This window comes from Homo sapiens, chromosome 1, assembly GCF_000001405.40.
Source record: "Homo sapiens chromosome 1, GRCh38.p14 Primary Assembly".
NCBI classification, from domain to species: domain Eukaryota; kingdom Metazoa; phylum Chordata; class Mammalia; order Primates; family Hominidae; genus Homo; species Homo sapiens.
In genome coordinates, this window is record NC_000001.11 from 174,730,075 (window position 1) to 174,755,275 (window position 25,201).

A 25,201-nucleotide genomic window follows, 5' to 3' on the forward strand; every position below is an offset into this window, starting at 1 on the left:
GGATAAAGAAAATATGGTACACATATACCACAGGATACTTTGCAGCCACAAAAAAGAACAAAATCATGTCGCTTAAAGCAACATGGATGCAGCTGGAGGCCATTATCCTAAGTGAATTAATACGAGAACAGAAAGCCCAATGCCTCATATTTGCACTTGTAAGTGGGTGCTAAACATTGACTACTCAGGGACATAAAGATAGCAACAATAGACACTGGAACAACTCTAGACTAATAGAGGAGGGGAGGAAAAGGGTGGGAACAAGGGTTGACAAGCTAACTGTTGGATACTATGCTCAGTACCTGGGTGATGGGATCATTCATACCCCAAACTTCAGCATTATGCAATATAGCCATGTAACCGACCTGCATATGTATCCCCTGAATCTAAAATAAAAGTCGGAAAAAACCCCAAACAAATTAGCCCCAATAACTCTCTGTAAATTCTAGAGTAATTACTTGACTCCAATAAGACCTTTTTTTGGTGAGTTGGATATACAATGCTATTCTCTTGATGTTTGGATTTTCCCCGAAACTGGTTAATTATGTTTAAAACTGAATACCCTTAAGTCCAGTGCCCCAGTGTGGGTTCAACAGGATAAAGTGTCTATCCACAGTATTCTCTGAGAAGGAATCCTTTAGTTTTAGCCAGAGAGTCATAGAGTTGTTCACACCTGAGGAATCATCCAGCTTAGTTACACAAGTTCAAGGTCCTAAAGGAAATTAAAAGAGGCATAAAATGACTTCTCAGAAATGTATAGATTGACTAAAAAGTAAAAATTGTGGCCTAGAAAAAAAACTTAATGAGTAGAAAGTTTTTTCCAAATGAAATCTTATGTATAAGGACAATACTACCCTTTCTTCCTACCTCCCCTGAAGTGATGGTAAGGAGTATCTTGCTATTTTATTTTTATTTTTTGAAAGAGCATCTCGCTCTGTTGCCCAGGCTGGAGTACAGTGGTGTGATCTCTGCTCACTGCAACCTCTGCCTCCTGGGTTCAAGCTATTCTCCTGCCTCAGCTTCCCCAGTAGCTGGTATTACAGGTACACACCAGCATGCCCACCTGTTTTGTATTTTTATTAGAGAAGGGGTTTCACCATGTTGGCCAGGCTGGTCTCGAACTCTGACCTCAAGAGATCTACCCGCCTCGGCCTCCCAAAGTGCTGGGAATACAAGCGTGAGCCACCGCACCCAGCCAGTATCTTGATTTTATCTGGTGTAGCCCAGTGCATTCACAAGCATTGCTGTAAGACTACACAAATGTCATGAAAGCTACTAGGATTTGTATGGACAGGTTGCACTATCATCCTGTCTGGATACTTGTCATGTTTAAGATTTCTAGAAAAGGAACTTACCCAGTGTACTTTGATAACTTTTTCTTGATTTTTAATTCTTTTGCTTTTACATCTGTGAAAAATAGATCATTATAATACTTTTGAGGTATTTTTTTTCTAGTGGATAATCTGAATGCAAAATCAACCAACAAAAGAAACAAACAAAAAAACCCTGTTATACCCTGGAACTCCAACTTGAGAATTTTCTTTTCCTTGCCATTCCTGGCTTCCATCTTCACAGTCATTCGTAGACTCACCCTCTCTTTAACTTTGCAAGATCTCTGGCAATTATTCCAGTCCTAAAAGGCTAGATTCTATAGGCATATTCTGTAAATGCTTCTTGGTTTTCAGACTGTGTCATGGTAATGCTGTTGCCTTCCTTGCTACATCTTCTGAGAACTAGAACTTAAGGACTTCCATGTCTCTGTACACTTATTCAATCTGTTCTTATTTTAAAATCAGAAAAAACAAGGGACTATGTTTCTACTATATTCAAATCATAAAGAATTATGGGCTGGGCGTGGTGGTTCACACCTGTAATCCCAGCACTTTGGGAGGCCAAGGCAGATGGATCACAAGGTCAAGAGATTGAGACCATCCTGGCCAACATGGTGAAACCCTGTGTCTATTAAAAGTACAAAAAATTAGCTGGGTGTTGTGGCGCGTGCCTGTAGTCCCAGCTTGGGAGGCTGAGGCAGGAGAATCACTTGGACCTGGAAGGTGGAGGTTGCAGTGAGCCGAGATTGCGCCACTGCATTCCAGCCTGGCGACAGAGTGAGACCCCATCCCCCCCAAAAAAAAAAAACATGGATTGTTAGACTTGAAAGTAACTCTACAGGTAGTTTAAGCCAATACCCCTTATTTAAAAGAAGAGAACTTAAGTATGACAGTAAAAGTTGTAAGAACCATGACTGATCTCAAGCTTAAAGCCGGAGCAGATAGTTTAGCTTAGCATTAGGGCTTAAAGTTAATACTCTAAGTAGATTAGGTAATTCTTTAATAGTAGACTGTGGTATTTGGACCTATGCTACAGAATTCTGTCTAGTTTTATTTTTTAGATGATTTATAAGAGTCTTGAAGATAGTTTATAGGTGAACAAACGAATTTAAAATTAGTACGCATGAGAACACATCAAAGGAATTAAGAATATTTCCTTAAAAAGGATACCTTCAAAGGCATCTTCAGTAACATGAAAAATTCAACCAAGTGTTCTCTACTCTATTTTTTTTTAGGATAGTACAAAGGAAGTAAAGGCATAATATAGTAAAAAGAACAGCAGCAGTTAGGTGTGAGGCAAATCCACACAATGAAGCTGGTGAACACTAGAACAGGAGGGATATTTGCCTTCCTGGTTATTTTCCTCAAATTCTCTGCTTATTATCAATATCTGTTTACTGTGGTTGGGATTTAGCATCCAAAGGCACGAATGGATGCACTTCCCAAGACTCTGTCCTGTTTAGTGATATTTCATGGTCTATTTAATAAACTGTTTGGGGGACTTTAACATGATAATTGTCAGGGCATATAGTGCTTAACTGTGTGTCAGACACTTTTCTAAGTGTTTTTTTATATAGTAACTCATTTAATTCTGAAAAAAAAACCCTCTGAGGTATCTATAAGGAAATCGAGGTAGAGAGAGTTAAAATAACTCTAAGTCATATAGTTAGGAGGAGATGCAAAGTTGATTCAGACCTAGGAAGGCTGGCTCCGAGTCTGTCTCATAACCACCATGCTTTATTGCCTCTCCAAAAAAGAATAAAAGGAGGAAGCGGTCAGACTTCAAGGGAAATAAAATTTCTTTTATTTTACCTAGATATCTCTAGATCCGATAACAGCTGGGACCAAGATATGGCAGGCTGCAGGGGTCAAGGAGAGCCAGCAAGCAGTGAAACATCTGCCTCCCTCTCCAGCTTCATCCCTCACATGCACTTTCGTGGTCCCATCCCTCCCAGATCACAGGCAGTTCTGCCTGCTTCGTTTCTCTCTGCCTTTACAGATGCTATGCTTTTGGTTTGCACTGCTTTCCTCCCAATACTTTAACTTGACCAATTTGTATTTATTTCTCTACCTCTTTCAGGCAAAACTGCTTTGTAAGCATCTACTGCATTGTGAAACATTTCCAAGTTTACCCAAGAAGTACTGATCTTTCTACCTTTGGGCTCCCCCTGTCCCCTAAATATCCCTCCTTTTTTTGTACTTTCATCACTCATTTGACAACTATTTATTTAGCATTACTATGTGCCAAGCACTATTCTGGACACTGAGGAAATCAGTCAGTCCAAATTTCTGACCTAATAAAACATAATATCTAAGTGGGGAAGAAAAGCAAGATTTGGAAGAGAAATGATAGGATTTGATGTCTCCCTTAAAGGGATCACTCCGGCTACTGTCACTCTAGAGAAAAGGAGTCACTCTGGAGAATAGGCTGTGGGGGGTCAAGAGCAGGAGTGAGGAGACCAGGAAACTGTTGTGTTAATCCAGATCAGGAGGTGATGATGGCTTAGGTAAGGGTGGGAGCAGTGGGAATGGTAGGAAGTAGTTGAATTTGGGATATGTTTACCAAGTAGATCCAAAAAGATTTGCTGATGGTTTAACTGTTCGTTGTGAGAGAAAGAAAGGATAATTCTATGATTTTTTGCTTATGCAACTAGAGGAATGCACTTACCATTGAAGAAGAGATTGGAGGAAGAACAGGTTTATGGGGAAAATAAGGAATTCAGATTTTTACATGTTTTTGATTCCTATTAGGACATCCAAGTAGAGATCTTAAGATAGTTGAATATATGATTCTGGAGTTCAGAGGAGATAGTGAGGCTAAAACGTTGATTTGGGAGTTATTAGTGTATGCTATGTATTTAAAGCCACAAGACTTGATGGGGTCACCTAGAAAGCTAGCTGACGACCAGGTATGACCATAGGGAACTCGGGAGATGGTAGTATTCAGAGCAAAAGGTAGTTCAGTAAAGCTTTCAAAGCCCCAGCCAAAGGGATAGAATTTAGAGTCAGGACCTCATTAAAAAAATAAAAATAAAAAGGAACTGAAAAGAGTGAAATGAGATGCCTGTTCTAAACAGGCCTGGAGATTTGAGCAAGTTCTCAGGACAGCAACTAGAAGAAGGTAAGAATCCAGAACCAGAACTCAATTAGGAGACAGAAACTTGGTCTTAGGAGAAAGTCAGATGCCATTTATTATAAATGAGGCACAAGATCAGAGATAGGATCTAATCAAACATATATTGATGTTCAGCACCTTGAATGTTGGATTGTAGAACTCTTTACTTTTCCACTGGGACCATGTGCCAGATCATTCTTTATGCCATGAGTCAACCAGAGCTGGAGGCATATCATGGGTTGACCTTCGTTCATCATGTCCAATAGAAATAGAATTATTTAAAATACAAATAATTTTTGCTTATTTATATGCCTAAAATTCTTGCACCTTTCCTACTAATTCTTCAGATTGCATTGAGTCACACTTATGCTTATTTAGTCTTTTTTTTAAGTGGGAAGTATGCTCATTTAATTTGGGAAATTAGGATCTCTCTCTTTTTTTTTTTTTTTTTTTTTTTTAAGATATGGGGTCTCACTTTGTTGCCCAGGCTGGAGTACAGTGGCACAATCATAGCTTACTGCCGCCTCAAATTCCTGGGCTCCAGCAATCCTCCTGCCTCAGCCTCTCAAGTAGCTAGGACTATAGGCATGCACCACCACACCAAACTAATTTTAAAAACATGTTTGTTTGTTTTTTGGTAGAGACAGGGTCTTGCCATCTTGCCCAGACTGGTCTCGAAATCTGAGTTCAATCAGTCCTTCTGCCTCAGCCTCCCAAAGTGCTGGGATTACAGGCGTGAGCCACCATGCCCAGCCATCTTATTTTTTTATAATCCTTCTCATTCCTTAAGAAACTGAAAGGCTGGAAGCTTCTCCCTTGAATAGAAAGCTTCCCAGTTTCCAGTCACCTAGATAATAGGGTCAACTCAATTAAATTAATTCTTAAAGATGTATAAACAGGAAATCGTGGTCTTTGCATTGCTGTAAAGAAATACCTGAGACCGGGGCTGGGCGTGGTGGCTCACACCTGTAATCCCAGCACTTTTGGAGCCCAAGGCAGGAGAATCACTTGAACCTGGGAGGCAGAGGTTGCAGTGAGCTGAGATCACGCCATTGCACTCCGGCCTGGGCAACAAGAGCAAAACTCCATCTCAAAAAAAAAAAAAAAAAAAAAAAAAAAAAGAAATACCTGAGACTGGATAATTTATAAAGAAAAGAGTTTTGATTGGCTTGTGATTCTACAGGCTGTACAAGCATGACTCCAGCATCTGCTTCTGGTGAGGGCCACAGGAAAGTTTCAATCATAGTGGAAGGTGAAGAGGAGCAGCATATTATATGGCAAGGGAATGGGGAGATACCACACTCTTTTAAGCAACAAGATCTCATGTGAACCACCAGAGCCAGAATTCACTCATCACCAAGGGGATGGAGCTAAGCCCATTCATGAGGGATACACCTCCATGATCCAAACACCTTCCACCAGGCTTCACCTCCAACATTGGGGATTACACTTCAACATGAGATTTGGCGAGGATGAATATCCAGCCCATGTCATTCTACCCCTGGCCTCTCAAACCCTCAAATCTCATGTCCTTCTCACACTGTAAAATCCAACCGGCCCTTCTCAATAGTTGCCTCAAGTCTTATTCCAACATTAACTCAAAAGTCCCAAGTCCAAAGCCTCATCTGGAGATGAGATCCTTCTACCTGTAAGTCTATGAGGTTAAATACAAGTTAACCATTCCCAGTTACAATGGTGGTACAGGCACTGGGTAAACATTCCCATTCCAAAAGGAAGAAATTGGCCAAAAGAAAAGGGTAACAGGCCCCATGCAGTTCTGAAACCCAGCAGGGCAGACATTAAACCTTAAAGCTCCTAAATAATCCTTGTTTCCATGTCCCACACCCTGGGCACACTGGTGCAAGTGGTAGGCTCCCAAGGCCTTGGGCAGCTCTGCCCCTGTGGCTTTGCAGGGTACAGCCCACATGACTGCTCTCACTAGATGGAATGCCTGTGGCTTTTCCAGGCTGAGGATTCAAGCTGCCCATGGCGCTACCATACTGTGGTCTGAAGGGAAACAGCCTCTTTCCTGCAGCTTCACTAGGCAGTGCCCTGGTGGAGGACTCTGTGTGGGGGCTCCAGCCCCACATTTTTCCTCCACACTGCCCTAGTAGAGGTTCTCTGTGCAGGCGCTGCCCCTGTGGCAGTCTTCTGCCTGGGCACTGAGGCTTTTTCATACATGTCCTGAAATCTAGGGGAAATCTGCCAAGCATCCTTCATGCTTGCATTCTGTGTACCTGCAGACTTAACATGACATGGAAGCTGCCAAGGCTTATGGCTTGCACCCTCTGGAGCAGCAGCCTGAACTGTACCTGGGCACTTTGAGCCATGACTGGAGCCAGAACAGCTGGGATGTGGGAAGCAATGTTCTGAGACTGACCAGGACAATGGGGCCCCGGGCCTGGCCCCTGAAGCCATTCTTTCTTCCTAGGCCTCTCTTCCTATGATGGGAGGGGCTGTCTCCAAGATCTCTGAAATACCTTCAAGGCCTTTTGCCCATTGTCGTGGATATTAGCACTTGGCTCCCTTTTAGTTATGCTACTCTCTTTAGCAAGTAGTTGCTCCATAGCCTGCTTGAATTCCTCTCCTGTAAATGCTTTTTCATGCTCTGCCACATGATTAGACTGCAAACTTTCCAAACTTCTTTGTTCTGCTTCCCTTTTAAATATAGGTTCCAGTTTTAAGTCATTTCCTTACTCCCATATTTGATTGTAGGTTGTTAGAAGCAGCCATACTACCTCTAGAACACTTTGCTGCTTAGAAAATTTTTCCACCAGATACCCTGTTATCATTAAGTTCAAACTTCCACAAATCCCTAGGACTCAGACACGATGCAGCCAAGTTATTTGGTAGGGAATAACAAGGGTGACCTTTGCTCCAGTTCCTAATAAATTCCTCATTTTCATCTGAGACATCCTCAGCCTGGCCTTCACTGTCCATATTTCTATCAGCATTGTGGCCACAATCACCTAACAAGTCTCTAAGAAGTTCCAAACTTTCCCACATCTTCCTTTCTTTCTCTGAGCCCTCCAAACTCTTCCAACCTCTACCTGTTACCCAATTCCAAAGCTGCTTCCCACATCTTCAGGTATTAATAGCAACCCCTCACTCCTTGGTACCAATTTTTATGTTACACCATTTTTGCACATCTGTAAAGAAACACCTGAGACTTTGTGTAATTTTCAAAGAAAGGGGTTTAATTTGGCCCATGTTTCTGCAAGCTGTACAGGCATGGCACCAACATCTGTTCAACTCCTGGTGAGAACCTCAGGAAGCTTACAATCATGGCAGAAGGTGAAGGAGAACCAGCATATCACATGGAAAGAGCGGGACCAAGAGAGAGATGGGGGATGTGCCACACACTTTTAAACAACCAGATCTTGTGTGAACTACCAGAGCCAGAATTCACTCATCACCAAGGGGAAGGTGCTAAGGCATTCATGAGGGAACCACCTCCATGATCCAGACACCTCCCACCAGGTCCCCCCTTCAATGTTGGGGATAACATTTTGACATAAGATTTGGAAGGGACAGAAATCCCCACCATGTTTGGTGGCATCATGGGCTGACATTAATACATCTCTTTAATGGGATTGGAAGTTAGGAGATGTTTCAAGGAGGAGATTACCTTGAACTGAGCTGTCCTGGTCAGTTGGCCATCTGAGAGAAAGAAATGGGGTCCCTGCCACAAGGCGCCTGGGAAATTAAATCCCAGTTAGAGAAATAGGAAGACACTCAGGAAGTAATCAGAAAGACACTTCACTGGTTATTTCCCCCCAGCAGTTTTGCTGCGATGAATTTCAGGGGTAGAAGCAGGAATGGTGGAATAAGGAATTGGAATTCAGGCCTACTTGTATAAGGCCCTCCTCAGTTGACCTATACCAGTATTTCTACATTTTTCTTATTTGACTTCTCTTACCTTGTAAAATATATAGAAATCAGTGGTTTCTAGGGTCTGCAGAGTGGGGTGGGTGGCACTAAAATACAGTAGATGTTAATACCCGTCTTAGACTTAATGAATCAGAATTATCCAGGGTGGGATCCAGGAATCTGAACTTTTAACAAATCTCTTTTGTTATTCTTAACTGGTACTCCTCAATTTACTGTTTAGGAATCTTACACATGGGGGAGGTTGAGACACTTAACTAAGCTAGTTGGTGGCAGAAATGAAACTGTGATATGGATCTTCTAACTCCTGCTCTAAAGCTTTTGATTTATAGTATAGTATTAATGAACTTCTATTGTGAACTTGCAGACCGTTTAATATTAGGTTCAATATACTATGTTTAAATGGGAATGAATTTCACAGGGCTTATAGAGCCTTTCCCCATAATTGTAAAATTTTTGCAGCAACCGCTATATTACTGTTGCTACAATTTTCTTTGCTAATTAGGTCTCTTTGCCTTGTAGCTCTCACTTTTAAATTGTTTTTGTTTTGTCATTTAGTAGATCTCAGAGCAATTAACTAAACTAATTCTTCCATCTTTTTTTAAATGGAGACATCTCCTCCTCACTATGGCAGGAAGATCTGTGATTTCTAGTATAACTGCTTGATGTGAGGACAGGGTTACTTGGGAAAGAACTTTCAGCATGAGTGATTTAATTATCTGCCTCCATTAGATAGGTACCTTTCTCTTGCTTGGCTCCTAATAAAGGAACAAGCACTCTCATCCATTTTACGGTTTAAATAAATTTTACAGTTAAATATGACTAGATATACTTTTAGTACCCAAAGTTGTGGATATTTTGTTCCATAAAAGCTAATTACTAATAGAAAATGGTTTGCTAGATAAATTACTTAACTGAAAATATACTAGAAGCTTATTTGTGCTTTCTAAAAAAGTTGATAATTATGATTCACTGGTTAGAAGTTGTAGATTTTACATATCCCTGATGTATAGATGGATAAGTGCAAATAGGAAAACTATGCTCTTAAATTATCATGATTGCTTGAAAACTTGGTAATGCTCAGTTCTCAGTCTGGTTTCATACTAGAAACTCCTGGAAGTTCTTAAAAATACAAGTGACCACATTCTACTCCTGAGAAATTTCTATTTATTTGACCTAAGATGGATCTCCTGCCTCTGTGTGTTATGAAAGCTCCCCAGGTGATTTTAATAAGCAGCCATGGTTGAGAGCCAATGGTCTAATGGAAAGAGAACTGAATTATAATCAGGAAACTTGTCATTCCAGTCTTAATTCTGTGAACTCAGGTAAATCATCTAACATATTTAAGCTTGCATTGTAAAATGGAGGTAATTAATAATGGCCTATATGCCGGATTAATATTTTTACAGTTGAATGAAACTATATACTCAAAAGTGCTTTGCAGTAAAGTGTTATACAGATGGTGGCATAGCAATTAAGATTTACTACGCAATATACTACTGTGAAGTGGTATGTTTAGTCTTTTGTACTTCTTGGCAGAAAGATGCTAGATCCCCTGTGGCAGAAAGAAACTTAGGCTCCTTAGCGATCCTCAGGGTATATTATTATGATTCTTAAAGTTCACTCTGTATTTTTATGTGTACCAGGCTGCTAGTGTCTCTAGGTGATAGGGGGAAAAGGTAGAGGAAAGGGTGGAGTTGCTCCTGCTGGTGATTTTTTAAAATTGTGAGTTCCTATAATTAGTAACATCCTTCTTACATCTTCATAGAGACATGGTTGGTAGCAGTGGAGTCGTTTATATAACTTTACAAACCCTCTCTTGTGTACTCTTTTTCAATGTTATTCTCTTAAATCACTTCTGTCTCTGCTTTCCCTAGTGTTTAAGCTTCACTAACATTTACCTATATATAAATGGATGAGGACAGAAGAGAAAGGGTCCCCAAAGATGAATACACTCATTACTGGTTTCCCAACATGATATAAACCTAGGACTTCACCCCTTGGAGGGATGAAAGTTTACTATGCATAGCATTTCCTGGTGTGTCAGTCTCGGTACAGCCTCTTGCTCAATTCATCAGCTGTTTCCAGGCAAAATTACATACCACTTCTTGAGTGTTTTAAAGCCTCCTAACTGTATATATGTGAGTTCTTTGATATATTGACTTCTTTTTCTTTGAGTCGATTCCCAGTAGTGGCATTGCTGGATCAAATGGTAATTATATTTTTATTTTTTTGAGAAATCTCCATACTGTTTTCCATAGTGGCTGTACTAGTTTACATTCCCACCAACAGTGTATATGAGTTCCCTTTTCTCCACTTTCTTGTCAACATCTGTCTTTTTTAATAATAGGGATTCTGGCTGAGGTATGCTATCTCATTGTGGTTTTGATTTGCATTTCTCTGATGATTCATGAGGTTGAACATTTTTTCATATACCTGTTGGCTGTTTGTATTTATTTTTTTGAGAAATGGCTATTCATATACTTTGCCCAAGTATGAATGGGATTATTTGTTTTTTTCCTGTTGAGTTGAGTTCCTTATCTGTTCTATATATTAGTTCCTGTTGGATAAATAATTTGCAAATATTTTATCCCATTCTGCAGGTTGTCTCTTCACTCTGTTGATTTTTTTGTTTTGTTTTTTTTTTTTTGTGTGTGGGAGCTTTTTAGTTTAATTAATTCCCAATCACTTATTTTTGGTTTTGTTGCCTGATCTTTTGAGGCCTTTGTAACAAATTCTTTGCCTAAACCAACAACCAGGAGAGGGTTCCCTAGATTTTTTCTTCTAATATTTCTATAGTATCAGGTTTTACTTTTAAGTCTTTAATCTACTTTGAGTTCATTTTTGTATATGGTGAGATAATGGTCCAGTTACATTCTTCTGCATGGCTATACAATTTTCCCAGCACCGTTTATTGAAGAGATTGTCCTTTCCCCAGTGTAAGTTTTTGTTGTTTGTTTTTGTGTTTTTTTGAGACAGAGTCTTGCCTTGTCACCCAGGCTGGAGTGCAGTGGCATGATCACTGCTCACTGTGGCCTCAACCTCATGGGCCCAGATGATCCCCCTGCCTCACCCTCCCAAGTAGCTCAGACTACAGGCATTTGCTGCCACACCTGACTGGTGTTTTATTTTTTGTAGAGATGGGGTCTCACTCTGTTGCCTAGGCTGGTTTTGAACTCCTGGGTTCAAGCAATCCTCCTGCCTCAGCCTTCCAAAGTGTTGGGATTACAGGTGTGAGCCACTGTACCCGGCCCCCAGTATAAATTCTTGTTGGCTTTGTTGAAGATCAGTTGGCTGTAACTATGTGTCTTTATTTCTGAGTTCTCTGTTTTGTTCTACTGGTCTATGTGGCTACTTTTATACCATGTTGTGGCATTTTTAAGGATTTTTTTTTTAAGTGGGGAGTTTGAGACCAGCCTGGGCAACATGGCAAAAGCCTATTTCTACAAAAAAAAAAAAAAAAAAAAAAAAAGTAGAAAAATTAGCCAGGCATGGTGGCATGCGCCTATAGACCCAGCTACTTGGGAGGCTGAGGTGGGAGGATTGCTTGAGCCTGGAAGGTTGAGGCTGTGGTGAGCCATGATAGCACTACTATGCTCCAGCCTGGGTGACAGAGCAAGACCCTGTCTCAAAAAAAAAAGAAGAAGAAGAAGAGGAAGAGGAGGGGGAGGGGGGAGGAGGAGGAAAGAAGAAGAAGAGGAGGAGGGGGAGGGGGAGGAGGAAGAAAGAAGAAGAGGAAGAGGAGAGGGAGGGGGAGGAGGAGGAAAGAAGAAGAAGAGGAGGAGGGGGAGGGGGAGGAGGAGGAAAGAAGAAGAAGAAAGAAAAGGGGGCCAGATGCGGTGGCTCAGCTTGTAATCCCAGCACTTTAGGAGGCCAAGGCAGGTGGATCACTTGAGGTCAGGAGTTCGAGACCAGCCTAACTAATGTGGTGAAACCCATCTCTACTAAAAATACAAAAATTAGTTGAGTGTAGTGGCGCACACCTGTAATCCCAGCTACTCGGGAGGCTGAGGCAGGAGATTTGCTTAAGCCCAGGAGGCGGAGGTTGCAGTGAGCTGAGATCGCGCCACTGCACTCCAGCCTAAGCGACAGAGCAAGACTTCATTTCAAAGAAAAAGGAAGAAAGAAAAGTGGTATGAGCACAAGAACTCTAACAAAAGATTTCTGGATGGATTGGGTTAATGGAAAACTGGCAGAAGCCTGGAGGAAGGAGAAGGTCAAGATCAGCTAATAGTAGCTGATAAGAAGTCCTGTATCATTATGAAGAGTATCAAAAGCACCCCTGCAGCCTGGGATGGTTGACTGATAACTATAACTGTAAAACAATATAATCCGATGTGTATCATGACTTAAGAGAATTTGAGAAGAACAGAAAGGTGAATGCCAGTATTCAATGGCCAATGGAACATGTGTTTAGGGACTTTATAGCAATACTTCAGTGCTCTAATGTTCAGGTCATACCTCCCTATCATTCCCTAGGTGGTGTGTTATCTGTTTATATTTTTATCTGCTATCCTAATCTGGGAGTCCTCTGAGTGTAGGGATGACTTATCCATCTTTGTAAATGTCCTCAAAATGCTTGACATATGATGAATATGTTACCACAACACCAGGGGTTCAGTCTAGGTCCTGCTGCTCACAGCACAGAAAGCCAATGACTAAGATGATGATTATTGCCAAGGAAGAAGGCTTTAATTGGGGGCTGCAGCAGACGAGATGAGATGGGAGCTCAGTCTCAAATCCATCTCCCTGACAAACTGAAACTAGGGACTTATATAGCAGGGAAGAGATATAGCAATATGTAAGAAACAGGAACTAGAGAGGGGTAAGGAAGCAATTATGGTGAATGAGGGGCCCTCATCTCATTATCTGGATATGGTGATCTGGTGAGTTCCAGTTCTTCCATACTTTTTTTTGAGAGACCTGAAGGTCCTTTGTTGAGTAAGGAATCCGATAAAACAAATGTTAAGGTTCAAGCTTCAAGACCAAAAACGTCAATTTCTATGTTTATCCAAAAAACTATCTATTGAACTATTGGGTCAGTTTGAAACACATGTTAAAACCTCTAATTTGATTTCCTTATCTCATTTTGCCTGCCTTGTTTCTGAAAGTTTTATCTAATTCAGATGTCACAAACCTCTAAAAATTTCTTTCCTTGTTCAACAAACCCCCTATGTCACAAGTTTACCTGCATAACAAACCTGAACATATACCTTTGAACCTAAAATAAAAGTTTAAAATAAATGAATAAATAAATAAATAATAGCAAAACTATGTTTTTTTAAAAAAAATTCTTCTCAGAGTCACCTATGATAAAGACTTCTAGATTTTGTAGATATTTTACTACTTAATCTGTACAAACAAGTGTAAACCAAGAAAATATTTTAAAATTACTCATGACTAAACAGATGCATTCATGTTAAACTTATCTCTCATCCCTACCCATTCTTGAACTCTTTCTCATTCACTAGTCATTTATGAAAAAACTGTATAACAAATAACTATAATAAAATGGAAAATATATAATTAAGCTAGAGGAAAGGAAGGGTGGGAGTCATCCTTTTTTTTTGGTATATGTTAGTAAATTAATAGTAAAAATAAGGGAGGACTTAGCCATAAGGGTTTTAAAACAGCATGTCTCAATTTGTATACAAGGCTACTATGTTGGTCTGTGAAATACGTAAAAAAAAAAAAAAAAAAAAAAAAAAAGCGATTGATTTTCAGTGCTGCAATCCTGACCTCTAGTGGACATTCAGAACAAAACCCAAACATCACATTCTTTTATTTAGTTACTCCATCAAGCACCATTAGCCAACCTAAAATATTAAACTTTCAAAGAGATTAAAACATGAGAAGCAGAATAAAGTAAAAGAATTTTTGGCTAATATTCTAAATATTCTTGCTGTAGAACCTGTATTTAAGAGCAGCTAGTATTAACTTATTTCTTTTTGCGTGTTAATTATCTGTCACTTTCACTACTTTCTTTGAAACAATGCATTGCTTTATAGATCATAGCAGCAAGAAATTTATCAGAGAAGCCAAATGGATTTTCTTTTGATTACCTGTAATATATAACAAGCTATACGAAAACTGAGTGGCTTTAAAAGGACAATGATTTTTATAGTGAGACATATAGTGATGTTATGTAACCTCCTGATAGAATGCACTGAGAAGGGCACAGCATCACTTCTGTGGTATTTGTGCCCAAAATACATATTCTGAATTTAATCATAAGGAACCAGTAGACATATCGAGTTGAGGGACATTTTATAAAATAACTGGCCAATACTCTTCCAAAGCATCAAGGTCATGAAAAATAAACACTGAAAACGGTCCCATATGAAAGGAGACTAAGGAGACATGACAACCAAATTCAATATATAATCCAGAATTGCATCCTGGACCAGAAAAAGGGCATTAGTGGAGCATTTGATAAAAATAATAGTTTCTTGGTTTTGATCATTATACTATGGTTATGTAAGATGTTAATGTTTGGGTAAAACTGAGTGAAGGATATGTAGGACTTCTTGGTACTGTTTTTGCAAAGTTTTTCTAAATCCGAAATTATTTCCAAGTGAAAAAAAGTAATTAAAACCAATCATTTATTTTCTTACAATCTCATGAGTCAGAAATTTTGGAATTCAACTGTGTGGTTCATCTCTGATCCACTTGGCATCAGCTGGACCACCTGATTCACTTCCAGATGACTTCTTTACTCACATATCTACCACTTTGGTGATTCTTGGTCTTTCTTCTTTACTGATGAAATCTGGTTCTCCAGGCCTTCTTTTGATTGCTTGGTTCCTTAGAGAGCATGGGAGTATAAGTATAATTGCACTTCTTATATGGTAGCTGGCTTCGAAAAGTGAGTGCTCCAAGGGACTGAACATGAAAGCTGTCAATATCTGAAGGCCTGGGCACATAAACTAGCATGGCATCACTTCCACCATATTCTACTGGTAAAAGCAGTACCATAGTCTGCCCAGGTTGAAATGAGAGAACAGAGACCTTAACTCTCAATGGAGAAGCATCAAATAATTGTGACTCTTTAATCCATCACAGATATCTAACAAAAGTCTCACTGAGTTGGCACTCAAGATGGAATTAGTGGAAAAAAGCCTGGATTTGCTTTAGTCTGATAGACCTGAGTTATAGCCTGGCTTTACCATTTACTAACAGTGTTCTGTCTCTGAGCTTCAGTTTAGCCATCTCTAAAATGGTGGCAATAATACATATGCCATAGAGCTGTTGAGAGGATTAAGTGAAAAATATAAAATACTGGATATAATGGGCAATAAATACATGAACCTAATAATAATAATTGCTAGTGTTTATCGAATATTTACCAAATACTCAGTTCACTTGATGTATGCTATCTCATTTAGTCATTATCTCTTCCTAGGGTGGTATGTTTTCTTTTGTATGGGTCAGAAAGGACAGAACCCCATTTCCTCTAGCTTTGTCTGTGAACCTGCTCCATTTACTTTGGCCATTTTTGGTTTGATAATTTGGTAATTTGGTTTATTGACTTGTTGTTAGGATTTCCATTATTTCCCTTTTATTTTGATTCCTAAGAACCCAGGTGCTGATGCACACTTGGTACTTTTTGACACTACCTTTTCAGCATTTGTTCTCAGTGCTGTCAGCTTAAGTTTTTGACAGCTTCTCACACAATCTGTCAGCTCTCTCTGAACCCACGATTGCCTGCTTATCAGAGCCAGAATGTTCAGTGTCTTTGTTTCAGTGAGTGCTCTACTGTCAGCTGTTATTTTATGCAAGATTGTGGGTGCTTAATCCTTGGCCTACCCAAGAACATCATGATCTGCACTTTGGAGCAATTATTCAATTTGGGGCAATTACTTGTAGGTGTTCTTTAAAGCAAAGATGATGCCAGAATGTAATTGAATTTTGAAATAGCAGTATCCAAATCAGTTAAAAAGCTACTTCGTCATGCATGCAAGGCTGATCTCAATCTGTTGTCATTAGAGGAAGGTGGTGACCCTTTCTTCCCACAGCAAGTTGGGTTTTTGTTGCCTCATATACTGCAAGCAGTCAGCTACTTTTTTTGAGTGTTTTCAATATGGAAACAAATAATAGAATTTAGTTCTGGTAGAAGTCACTTATTTGTTATCTTTTTACTCTCTGCTCTCAAAATTTACTTGCCTTTAAATGGAAAGAATCACTTTAATCCTTTAGGAAGTAGAGGACACATTAAATAATATCCAAATAAGAGATTTATTCATTCATTCACATATTCATTGAATCATCTTCTCTAACTTAATTGTTTAGAGTATCACTTTTGGAATTAGGTTAAAATCCTAGATCTGCACTTATTAGCTATTGGACTTAGGAAAGTTACTTTGATTTCTCTAAATCTTGATTTCCTTGTGTATAAAATGGAATTTTAGGTGGTTGTGGGATGAAATAGGGACATGCCTTTAATGTAATTAATTCATATCTTGGCACATACAAAATACTCAGTAGATGTTGGTTATTATTTTGCATTTGGAGTTAGACCTTGTACTATAAATGATAAGTGGCCATAATATGTTTACTTATTTTTTACTCTTAATAATTCTCCAAACCTTTGACTCCTACTACGTACATGTTTTCCCCTTAAGAACAAACAAATTGCTGGGGATTACATATTCCTAAAAATGGGAGGCATCTTGAAAATGTATGAGATATTTTGCTTTTAAAAATACATTTCAAGGCTGAGTGTATTGTCTCATGCCTGTAATCCCAGCATGTTGTGAGGCCAAGGCAGAAGGATCACTTGAGCCCAGGAATTGGAGACCAGCTTGGGCAACATAGGGATACCTCATCTCTACGAAAAAATTAAAAATTAGCCAGATATGGTGGCACACACATGTAGTCCCAGCTACTTGGAAGCTGAGTTGAGAGGATTGCTTGAGCCTGGGAGGTTGAGGCTGCAGTGAGTGGTGATCACACCACTGCACTCCAGCTTGTGTGACAGAGTGAAATTCTATCTCTAAAAAAAAAAAAAAAAAAAAAAAACCTGATAGAATAACAAGTTCTTTTCTGAATTCCATCAACTCAAATGTCTTAAAGTGTATTTGTTTGCATCGTCTAGCCACTCTGTTCTACTTTAGTTCAAGGCTTATGAAGTCTTTATTTTTATGGGTAATGTCTAGAGCTTCATATAAGCAGATATAGTAATACCTTATTTTTCTGAACTTGTTTAAAGAATTTACATACATAAATTTTTCTGGTAACTGAAAGTTTCCTCTTTAGCTTCCCAAACTTCAAAACATCATTATCTACTTTTTATTTAAAACACACACTCACCTCCCTTCTTAAGCACAGTATTATAACATGATATAAGCATTCATCAATCCTGCTGGATTATCATTATTAATAATGACAATTAACAGTAGTTAATAATTAACTATTGAAGATTATTGGCTCCCCCAAGTGGACCCAGAGAGCTATGCATTTTATCTTTTTTTTTTTTTAATATATGTCTTCATTTCTGTGAGATCTAATATTTTAATTCTGACAACTGTCTCTATAAGCTATCTATCCCTGACCCCATCTGGCACATACTTTATCTTGTAGTTTGCTACTTGTAATATCTATAAGCTTCAAAATCATATCACCAAACTAACTGGAAGTATGTATAGAATAAAAAGTTTAGCAAAGTTTCCTCTTGGTGTTTGTGAGAGCTATTTTGGCTATTTAGAGATCTTTATTTACTTAATTTTTACTTGTAAGTTCTTTGTGTCTTGGACAGCTTGGTTGTCTAATTGTTTGATTTTGAGATAATTGAAGAAAGGGGTTCTTACTGTAATTTGATGATAATTCTGTAAATTGGTCTAGTTGGGTCCACAGGGAAATAATCAACCCCCGAAAATTTGGGAAAGCTAGTGTAGTTTAATCATTCAGTCTTCAAATAAGCATTTACTATGCACATTATACCAGCACTGTGTGAGAATATCTCACACAGGAGGCTTGAGGGGGTGATTCTAGCCTGTTACTAAACACATATGTAAACCAAAAACATCTGAGATGGGTTTCAATCAATTTAGAGGTTTATTTTGCCAAGTTACAGACCATGATCCATGACACAGCCTCAGGAGGTCCTGAGAACATGTGCCCAAGGTGATTGGGTTTCAGATTGGTTTTATATGTTTTAGGGAAACATAAGACATTAATCCATGGCCGAGCACAGTGGCTCATGCCCTTAATCTTAGCACTTTGGGAGGCTGAGGCAGGAGGGTTGCTTGAGGCCAGGAGTTCAAGAATAGCTTGGGCAATATAGTGAAACCCTCTCTACCAAAAAAAAAGAAAAAAAAATTATCTGGGCGTGGTGGCATATGCCTGTAGTTCCAGCTACTTGGGAGGCTGATGTGGAAAGATTGCTTGAGTTCAAAAGGTCAAGGCTGCAGTGAGCTCTGATGGTGCCACTGCACTCCAGTCTGGGTGACAGAACGAGACTCTGTTCTTAAAAAAAAAAAAGACATCAGTCCGGGTGCGCTGGCTCACACATGTAATCCCGGCACTTTGGGAGGCCAAGACGGGCAGATCACTTGAGGTCAAAAGTTTGAGACTAGCCTGGCCAAAATGGTGAAACCCCGCCTCTACTAAAAATACAAAAGTTAGCCAGGTGTGGTGGCAGAGCCTGTAGCCCCAGCTACATGGGAGGCTGAGGCACAAGAATCGCCTGAACCCAGGAAGTGGAGGTTGCAGTGAGCCAAGATTGCACCACTGCACTCTAGCCTGGGCGACAGAGCAAGACTCTGTCTCAAAAAAAAAAAAAAGAAAAAAGAAAAGACATCAGTCAATACATGTGATGTGAAGCATACATTCATTCAGTGCAGCAATAATTCAGAGATGGGGCTTCCAGGTCATAGGTGGATTCAAAAATGTTATCTTTTTTTTTTTCTGTTCTTTTCTTTCTTTCTTTTTGTTTGTTTTTTGAGACAGGGTCTCGCTGTGTCATCTAGGCTGGAGTGCAATGGTGTGATCTTGGCTTACTGCAGCTCAACCTCCTCAGTTCAAGCACTCCTCCTGCCTCAGCCTCCCATGAAGCTGGGACCACAGGTGTGTACCACCACACCTGGCTAATTTTTTTTTTACTTTCTTGTAGAGATGGGGTCTCACTTTGTTGCCCAGGTTGGCAAAGATTTCCTGATTGGCAATTGGTTGAAAGAGTTGTTATTATCTAAAAACCTGGAATCAACAGAAAGGAGTGTCTGGGTTAAGATAAGGGCTTGTAAAGACTAGAGTTCTTATTATGTATATGAAGTCTTATGGGTAACCACTCCCAGAGGCAATAAATGGCAAATGTTTCCTTTAGACATCCTAAAAAGGTTCTAGACTCTCAGCCAATCTCTTCAGGATCAGAAAGTGACCTGGAAAGAGAAGGGAATCCTCTATAGAAAGTAAATTTTCCCCACAAGAGACAACTTTGTAGGACCATTTCAAAATATGTTCAAGGAATCTTTATTTTATTTTATTTTTTTTGAGATGGAGTCTCGCTCTGTCACCCAGGCTGGAGTGCGATCTCGGCTCATTGCAAGCTCCGCCTCCTGGGTTCACACCATTCTCCTGCTTCGGCCTCCCAAGTAGCTGGGACTACAGGCGCCTGCCACCACGCCCGGCTAATTTTTTGTATTTTTAGTAGAGACTGGGTTTCACCATGTTAGCCAGGATGGTCTCGATCTCCTGACCTCGTGATCCGCCTGCCTCGGTCTCCCAAAGTGCTTTTGGGATAAAATAGTTTGGTTTCTTTCAGGGCCCTGCTATCTGCTATGTGATGCTATACTTAGAATCACGTTGGAATTTGGTATCTTATTGCTACAGGGTGTTTGCTGTCTGTCTTAGGATCTCTCTTTTAATGTTAATGCTGGTCAGTTGTGTGCCTGAACTCCAAAGGGAGGAGAGTATAATGAGGCATGCCTGATTGCCCCTTCCTGTCGTGATCTGAACTATTTTTTTCAGGTTTAGCTGGGTCCCTTTGGTCCCAGCTTAGTCAGTTGGAGGGCTTAGAATTGTCTTTTTGGTTTTCACAGGTATAATATTGGGCTAGTCACATTCATACTCTAAGAAATGAGAATCATTGTATAGGTTGTTATAACAATCAATGAAATTTCACAATTCCTGTGAATGTAAGGAATTTGGGGGGAATGTTTGACAGGGAGGTTAAGAATACAGCCAAGGTAGCTGAACATGGAGTGGAGTTTCCAAAGGCTACCATGAAAGGATTTGGAAAGGAAAGGAGGAGTAGCAAACTAGCTTAGGATAAAGGACCAGAGCATTATGAAGATGAGAAAACTAGACATGAGAGGGATTTGCATTTTGAGCAGTGACTGGAAAAACAAGAACCAGAGAAATAGTGGATCAGGTTCTGATGGCAAGCTGATAAACACTCAGGTTGTGAGAATTCACTGTTGCCTAGTGGTTGTGATGTGGTGGTGGACAGAGTTGGAGAACAGGGCAGTAGGTCTTTTTTATATTGGCCTTTAAGTTTTGGCAGGTGGGCAGCAGCTAGTGGGTGAGAAGTCAAATTTTGATTCAGAAAGCAAATTTTGCTTAATTGTAACCCACATTTTAAAATCTGTAATAGTCTTTTTTTTCTAATTGGTAAATTGTGGTCAAAACCAGTCCAGGATAATTGCTTAGTATGGTAATGAACTGTGTTCATTTGTTTTTATCTCCTGGCCTGATTATACTTATTTCCTATTGCTTTTGGTTTCTTAAATAATCAGCTGAGTAAACCCCAAACCAAAAATATTTGGTTTATATTTTAACCAACTGAATATTTGTGTTTATCATTCATTCCTTCCATCATTATGTTATATTTCTGGTACCTGAATGTGAAAGTTTATGTTAGCAAATCATAACAGGAATACACTCTAAATATCTGGGCCTAATCCTTGCTTCTGGAGTTATTTCAGAGACAGAAGAAGCATGGTTTATTATAAGTTTTTTGGATAGCACATTTGGTATAGCTCCATATCCAAAAGCCAGCCAGAATGTATCAGTGACCAAGATGAAGAGGGCACATCAAATAGACCCTGGACTTATGGGACTTATGCCAACTCATACTTGAAATATCTTTTTTCTTATGTATGATGACTTGCATGGCAAGGAAACAGCACATTTTGTAGCAAACATTTCTGATTGTTACCTTTATCATATAAGATTCTCTATCTTTTGAATTTAATAACTCAATGTCTCTTCAGAGCAATTGGGCAGAACCCAGAGTTCAAAATTCAGTTCTAGAATAGCTTCTTAAGGAACAATTTAATTTGTTTATTTCTAAAGAAATATTGCTATGGTTTTCAGAAAAGGAAAGGAAGTCTGGCAGATAGCCCCTAATGACCACCTCTAGTTATACAAATAATACTTGAAAGCAATTGCTAAAACAAATAAGAAAACAATAAGAACTGTAGTGGAAATGCAGTGTGATACTTAAAGCCTCCAGTACACAATCTGTCCCACTTATCAGCAACACTGCCTTGTTTTTTTTTATTTTATTCTGTCTGCCACTTGCAGTTTAACTGTAACACCGAGATGTCCAGATTAGGGTTAGGAATTTCAATTAATAATTTTAGACTTCTGCATCATTATGCCAGCTTGAGCAAGGAACTTGACTTTCACAAGACTTAGGCACATGCAAATAATCCAGAAATTGACTGAAGGGAAATAACTTATTGTAAAAACAATTTTATGTGAACATTGATTAAATAGCACCTAAAATTTATAACAAGCCACTCAGGGAAAGAAAATACCTTTAAAAAAAAACTCATGGTTTAATTATTGTTTGTGAAGATGAAAGCAATTAGGAATTTTATTAAATATATGTGGAAGTCTTGGGGAAATAATAAAATAGTGATACATGTGGCAGTACTAATCTTCACTTTCTTTTTCTATTTCAGGGTTTGAACATAATCTTTCATGTAGCTTTGGCTCTCCTAAAGGTAAGTCTTTTTTTTAATCTTAAGTTACCACATTCTCTTACCTCTTTGCCCTTGGAACTGGAATAATTCAATTTACAGTCTTTGACTCATTTCAGTTTCTCAGACACACAAAAATAGATGACTTCTCTGAGAAACTCTGATCCTCTTCCCTCCTCTCATCTTTTTCTGTTGTTGTTTATTTGGAGTCTTTTTTTTCTTATAATCCATTTATTTAATGGTACTATCATAGAGCTCTTTCCAGTAACATAAAATATCTTTTTATCATATGAATTGGATGATATAAGAGAAAAGGTTAAAAATTGTTTTCTGTCAAAATGATGCCTGCTTTTTTCTTAAAACACTTTTTACTATAACATCTCTGGAGGTACCTAAACATATAATTGAATTATTAAAAAGTTTTTATAATATACTGACTAAAAAAGAAACTGCTACATTTCAATTTGCAGTTCTTTCCATGATAGTTAGAAATTTATAAAACACTTTAGAATTCTATTGTAATTACCTTGTTGGATTTTATGTCAACATATCATACAGCTTTAATAATGTGGTAACTGCAAGGCATTTGCTGCAGAGTTGATGAAGATAACCCAGCTGGTTTTTGTCCTTCAGTCAGAGAAGACATTCTGATATTAAAGGCAATAATTGCCTCAAAGGCACAGGCTTACCCTTTCCTCAGTATAACATGGTGGTTAAAATGGCAGACCTGGACTCAGACAGATTTGCTTCTAATTTCAGCCCTACCATATGACCTTAGGCAAATTTTTCTAAGTGCTCAAAGTCTGGGTTTTGAGATAATAATAGGAATTAATTTATGGGATTGTTAAAAGAATTGAGATGATCAAAGAAGTCCTTAGTATAGTATCTAGAACATTTTACTGCCTAGTAAAGTTAGCTGTCATTATTATTGTTCTTTACAAGGTGACTCAGAATGTGTTCTTAGATCCCTTATCATTCTTCTGAATCTCTCAAAAGATAATGATGTGGTATCATAGGAGGACCTCTTGATACGTTAGGAGAGCCTTAACCATACCTAACCATTAACATAACCTTGATTCTAAACAAAGGCATGAAATAGTACAGGCCCTCTGCAACTCAGTAAGTGGATTTCTATTCCTCATCTCTTATTCCTTTACACATTTGCTCTTTGTGAAGTTCATAAGATACACTTTTTAAAATTAAATCGATTGTGTTTATATATTTTTTATGCCAAAGCTATTTAGAAAATAGAAAAATATTTTAAATAAAATAACACAAACATATTTGCTGTGTCCCTTAATGAAGTCATGGGTTTTGACCTCTAATTTTTTTCTTTCATTAAAACAAATCCAAGCTGAAACTTTCCAACATGTCCTCTCAACAGGGCTGGAATAAGACTTTTAGAATGCCTAAGCATTGAAAGTATATGTAATACAGACTAAAAAAATATTAAAACATAAAGTAAGTATAAGGAGGTCCAAGAAAGTTCTGATTTCTCATATTATATCTAATGTTTTAAACTCTCAGATATTATGTCTTTCCTAAAATGCCTTTCCTCATTTTTTTGGTGACTTATCTTTACTAGTGCTTTCACTGAATGCTTAATCTGTCTTTTGAGTAACCCAGGACTACCTCTCTGGATATCAGACCTATACCCTGTGTCAACTTAATACTATATACATTAGTAAATTATCTTCTTGATTGACATGTTGACTTGTTCATATTATTTTCATTTATTTTGTCCATGTTAACACAGACAAGGCCTCTACAGAGGACATACTCTGGCCACTGGGCAGGAAGGCTTTGTCTGTCTTCTTTAGCAATACATGGGCACTCTTGTAGCATCATCTTAGAGAATTTTACTAGTTAGAGAAGATAAAAAGAGCCTTCTCACCACTAGTGCCCTATATTTATGTAACTTCCTTATATGAATCCTGAAGCTGACCCCCCCAATAGACAGAGTATATATGGGACTAAACTGAAGTGTACTTTAATGATCTATTGCCACCACTTGGAAAAAAAGAATACGCAAACATATATGACAGTCACTGACTTTCAGCTTCTAGTGTAGTATACCAGATAAAATAATATGTATTTGTTTATATCAAAATTAAAAACTTTGGAGAAGTTCAAATTGCTGGGTTTTTTTTTCTTTTGTTTTGTTTTGTTTTTTGCTTTTTGAGACAGGGTCTTATTCTGCTCACTCTGTTGCCTAGGCTGGAGTATAGTGGCGTGGTGATAGCTTACTGCAGCCTCAAATTCCTGGGCTCAAGTGATCCTCCCTCCTCAGCCTCTTGAGGAGCTAGAATTACAGGTAGATGCCACCATGCCCAGCTAATTTTAAAAATATTGTAGAGACAGGGGTCTCACTATGTTGCTCAGGCTGGTCTCAAACTCCTGGACTCAAGCAGTCCTCCTGCCTTGGCCTCCCAAAGCACTGGGATTATAGGTGTGAGCCAATGAGCCTGGCCTTCAAAGTGCTTATGAATTGAGCCTAAGGAATTTTCAGTATAGCTACAGAGAGACTTCAGATTTCTCTGTATTATAAGCATTTCTTGTGATGAGGGGACAGAACTAACATTTCTTGAACATTTATACTCTGTGTTAAGTACTAACAGATTATCTCATTAACATACATTAAATGTCTAGGATTTATTTGTAGAATAGTAATGGTATTAGCCAGAGAAAACATCTAATTCTTCCCCCAGCCCCTAGTTGATAATTGAGAGATCAAAGCTCAAGATCACCTTAAGACTTTTGTCTCAGTAGTGGGAAAGTTGGATTTATAATTTTTTTGAATGGGATAGATATAGGATGAATTCTGTGTTGCTCAGTTAGGTTTTAAAGACACCTACTTTCTGAACGGGACCAACTTCTTTTTGGTTAGTAATAGCCTATCAGGTAGCTAAAAAGCTATGGACCTAAAAGAATGATTCACAATACTA

General features: G+C 38.7%; 1 protein-coding gene across 16 annotated transcripts in view; it reads left to right on the top strand.

Annotated features, from left to right (window-relative positions):
* The window catches only part of RABGAP1L (RAB GTPase activating protein 1 like), an 835,789-nt gene that overhangs the window by 570,555 nt on the left and 240,033 nt on the right, over window positions 1–25,201 (top strand). For all 16 annotated transcript variants that reach the window (NR_158982.1, XM_011510223.3, XM_047436028.1 and 13 more), the window contains one exon: window positions 22,239–22,280. Coding sequence is in view for 14 of the 16 variants with exons in the window: in XM_011510223.3 (XP_011508525.1) it covers window positions 22,239–22,280 (42 nt within the window). In the remaining 2 variants the exon portion in view is untranslated. The remainder of the gene's footprint in view (window positions 1–22,238; window positions 22,281–25,201) is intronic.